The sequence below is a fragment of the Homo sapiens genome, chromosome 1, assembly GCF_000001405.40.
Source record: "Homo sapiens chromosome 1, GRCh38.p14 Primary Assembly".
In the NCBI taxonomy this organism is placed as follows: Eukaryota; Metazoa; Chordata; class Mammalia; order Primates; family Hominidae; genus Homo; species Homo sapiens.
Window position 1 is genome coordinate 23,655,383 of NC_000001.11, and position 4,511 is coordinate 23,659,893.

At 44.2% G+C, this 4,511-nt stretch overlaps 1 annotated feature.

The window, feature by feature from the left end:
- Nucleotides 2,393-2,442: an enhancer, noted in NCBI's record as "active region_373". NCBI's record gives its function as "activates an Ori minimal core promoter by ATAC-STARR-seq in GM12878 lymphoblastoid cells {active_cell/tissue: GM12878}" and the evidence as "EXISTENCE:reporter gene assay evidence [ECO:0000049][PMID:35858748]".

The window sequence follows — 4,511 nt, forward strand, 5'->3', positions numbered from 1 at the left end:
CAAAGTGCTGAGATTACAGGCATGAGCCACTCCCCAGCCTCTCCCCTTCTTTTTAACATAGATTCTAGTGTACAAGACACACTATTCCTAACCTTACTTTTTTCCCTTAACTAATTTTGAAAAGTCTTCTTTATTACAGCTGCATAGTATTCCATTGTGTATGAACCAGAATTTCAAAACCTATATAGAGAGAAAAGAGAAAAGCTCACGGGTGTTTTTAAATAGAGAAATTGAGAAGCCCTGAATTTTTGTCCAACTTCCTCCTTTTAATAAACAAGCAGAGGTTCACAGGAGAGAGAACTGTCATTTTTTGAATACTCAATATGTGTCAGGTGTGTTCACATACGTGACCTCAATGTATCCTCTCAATAGCTGCATGAAAGCTGGGAGTGGTGGTACTTGTAGTCCCAAGTATTCGGGAGGATCGCTTGAGCCCAGGAGTTTTGAGTCCAACCTGGGCCACGTAGCAAGACCTGGCCTCTTAAGAAAAAAAAACAAAAACAATTTATATTAAATACATATTAGTATTCTCATTTTTGGGAGGAGGAAACTGAGGCTCAGAGGTTAAGCCACTTGCCAAAGGCCACACAGATGACACAGCTAGTGAATAGCAAAGCTGGAATTTTTTGTTTTTGGTAGAGGTTTTTTAAATATATATATACAAGACACATTAATCCACGCATTTTTTTTTTTGAGATGCAATCTCGCTCTTGTTGCCCAGGCTGGAGTGCAATGGTGCAATCTGGGCTCACTGCAACCTCCGCCTCCCAGGTTCAAGCAATTCTCCTGCCTCAGCCTTCCAAGTAGCTGGGATTATAGGTGCCCACCACCATGCCTGACTAATTTTTGTATTTTTAGTAGAGACGAGATTTCACCATGTTGGCCAGGCTGGTCTCCAGCTCCTGACCTCAGGTGATCTGCCCACCTCGGCCTCCCAAAGTGCTGGGATTACAGGCGTGAGCCACTGCACCCGGCCTTTTAATCCATTAAATTTGAGGACACAGTACCAAAAAAAACCACTTCAACTAATTCATCTGACAATGCTGTTCATATTCATGACACCATTTTGTTGTTGTTGTTTTGTTTTCCTAACAGTAAAGAAGGCGGTTTAGGGCTGCTGGGCTGATGTATATTTGGGGTTTCCATCTCTATCTCCCCACCTCACCCATATACCACCAGGGTCAAAGCTGGAATTTATTTATCTATTTATTTATTTATTTGAGATGAAGTCTTGCTCTGTCACCCAGGCTGGTGTGCAGTGGCACCATCTCGGCTCCCTGCAACCTCCGCTTCCCAGGTTCAAGTGATTCTCCTGCCTCAGCCTCCTGAGTAGCTGGAATTACAGGTGTATGCTACCATGCCCGGCTAATTTTTGTATGTTTAGTAGAGACAGGGTTTCACCATGTTGGCCAGGTTGGTCTCGAATTCCTGACCTCAAATGATCCACCTGCCTCCGCCTCCCAAAGTGCTGGGATTATAGGAGTGAGTCACCATGCCTGGCCAAAGCTGGAATTTAAACTCAGGTCTGTGGACCTCCATGGCCTACAGACCACGTCCTTAGCCACAGGACTATATTGTTTTTCAGAAAAGCCAACTGTGCTGAGAGGCATATAGGCGAGGGATTTGGCCAGCATTTTAGAGGGGGAGCTACAAACTTCTAGAGGCAGGGTGTGGTGCTGGCCGTGGGGATTACAGAGAGGCCAAAAGTGGCTGGGTAAGAATTCAGGTGCGGCTTGCGGACTCCTCAGTCCTGCCTAGAGATCCCTGCAGCCCAACGCCCCACCTCAGTGCTCCTGAGCCCAATGGGGCTCCTGCGATCAAAGCAGGACTTGTCACTCCAGACCTGTGCTGTCTCCATCATAGACAGAAGCGCCGAGGCTCCGTCTATGTCCCTGTGCCTAGCAGGCTGGGAGGCAGTACAGCATGGTGGCTGGGAGCCTGGGCTAAGTTTGCAGCCTAGCCTGGCTTTTGCTGGCTGTGTGCCCTGAATAAGTCACTTCACTTCTCTGAGTCTGTTTCCCCACCTGTAAAATGGAAATGGTAATAAAATTGAACCTCATGTGATGTAGGAGGAATAAAGGCTAATGTGTGTAAAACACACTGCCTGGCACATGGTGCACACTTGTAAATATTGGTAATAATAGGACTAAGCATTGAACAAATTAGCTTTGGTGCGTTTGGTATTTGGGTTCCATAAAGGAATCCGCTTTATTACAAAAACACAATCTGAAGCGTCCTGACTTATGTCCCAGAATCTGCATTTATTCCCACTTTCCGCTCCCATCATCCCTTGCACCCCAGCACCAGGCAGCTCCAGGGCGAGAACCGCACTGGCAGCACCTTCTTGAGCCCAGTCCTGGCTGGGTTTCCCATCTGTGGGACACCCTGGCTTCCTGGAGGCTTGTCTTCCTCCTGTCCTGGGACTTTAATGCTTTTTCCCATGGCCAGCCTTGTACCAGAACTCCAGGCCTGGGCTTGAGTGGACAGCGCCCCTAGGGGCTGAAGGTGCAAGCTGCTTTCCAGGGGGCTCAGAAGCTCTGGGAGGGCCTTGGGTTGTGGAAACCTTGGCGCGACCTTTGGCAGTGTGGGTTTGGTTTTTGTTTTGTTTTGAATTTTTATAAAATTTTTCTGTTACAAAAATAATACATGCCATTGTAATAAAACAAACTAGATGGAAATACGAAAAGTCAATCTCTCTGTAGTTCCCTACAATCTAATGTTGGATTGTGAGACCTAATGTTGATTTTGGAATTTATTTATCCACACTATTCACTATATGTGTATATTTTGAGTTTTTTTTCATTTTTTGCTTTGTTACAAAGATGGAATGATACAATTTGCTTTGCAAGTTTTTTTTTGTTTTTTTTTTTAAGATACCGGTTCCCACTCTGTCCTCAGGCTACAATGTAGTGGCATTACCTTGGCTCACTGCAACCTCAACCTCCTGGGCTCAAACAATCCTACTGCCTCAGCCTCCCAAGTGGCTGGGACTGCAGGCACTGCCACCATGCCCAGCTAAACAATTTTTAAATTTTTTGTAGAGATGGGGGTCTCACTATGTTGCCCAGGCTGGTTTTTTTTTTCTTTTTTGAGACAGAGTCTCGCTCTGTTGCCCAGGCTAGAGTGCAGTGGCGCGATCTTGGCTCACTGCAACCTCAGCCTCCCAGATTGAAGCGATTTTCCTGCCTCAGCCTCCCAAGTAGCTGGGATTACAGGCGCCTGCCACCACAACCAGCTAATTTTTGTATTTTTAGTAGAGATGGGGTTTCACCATGTTGGTCAGGCTGGTCTCGAACTCCTGACCTCAGGCGATCCACCTGCCTTGGCTTCCCAAAGTGCTGGGATTATAGGTATGAGCCACTGTGCCCAGCCCCAACCCCCTTAATATTCCTCAAGGGCTAACTGAAGCAGAATTGGAACCCAAACCCAGCTCCTCGGAGTTTTCCTTTGGACCATGCAGTTCCATCACTTCTGTTCTGCTGGGTGGTTCCAGGCAGGAACACAGACAACTTTGTACAGAGGAAAGTTGATTATGCATGCTGTAGCTCTGGGATAAGCTGTCTCTTCGCTTCCTAGTGTGGTTTCAAAGTTAGGTTCATGGATTTTAGTGCTTGTGGTCTGTTGAAGTTTTTGGATCCGTAGGAGTACAGTTTTCATCAAGCTTGAAAAAAAATTGGCCATTATTTATTTAAATATTTTTTATCTTTCCTTTCCCTCTGCCTCCTTTGGGGACTTCATTTACATATATATTGGGCTGCTTGAAGTTGTTGCAAAGCTCCCTGATGCTCTGTAACTATTTTTAAATCTTTTTTTTTTAAATCCATTTCATTTTGGATACTTTCTATTGCTATGCCTTCAAGTTCACCAATCTTTTCATTGGCAGTATCTAACCTGCTGTCACTCCTAGCAAGGGTATTTTTCATTTTACATGTTGTTTTAATTTCTAGAAGTTTGATTTGGGTCTTTGAAAAGTCTTCCACGTCCAGGCTGGGCATGGTGGCTCACGCATGTAATCCCAGCAATTTAAGAGGCCAAGGTGAGAGGATTGCTTGAAGCCGGGAGTTCAAGACCAGCCTGGGCAACATAACAAGACTCCCCCTCTCCTGCCCATATCTACAAAATCTTCCATGTCTCTACTTATCATACTTAATCTTTCTTTTACCTGTTTGACCATGTGGGATACTGTATAGTTACAGTAACATTTAATTCCCTTTTCTGTTTTTTTCTTTTTCTTTCTTCTTTTTTTTTTTTTTTAGCCCAACCAGGATATCATGACATCCCTTTTCTATTAATTCTATCATCTGTATCATTTCTCAGTTTGTTTCTATTAATTTATTTTTCTTTTCATTTTAGGTCTTATTTACTTTCCTCTTTGCATACCTAGTAATTTTTAATTTGATGATGCCAGACATTGTGAATTGCACCTCTTCGGGTGCTAGATATTTTCGTGTTCCTATGAATATTCTTGAAATGTGTTATGGGATACTTAAGGTTACTTGGAAACAGTTTGA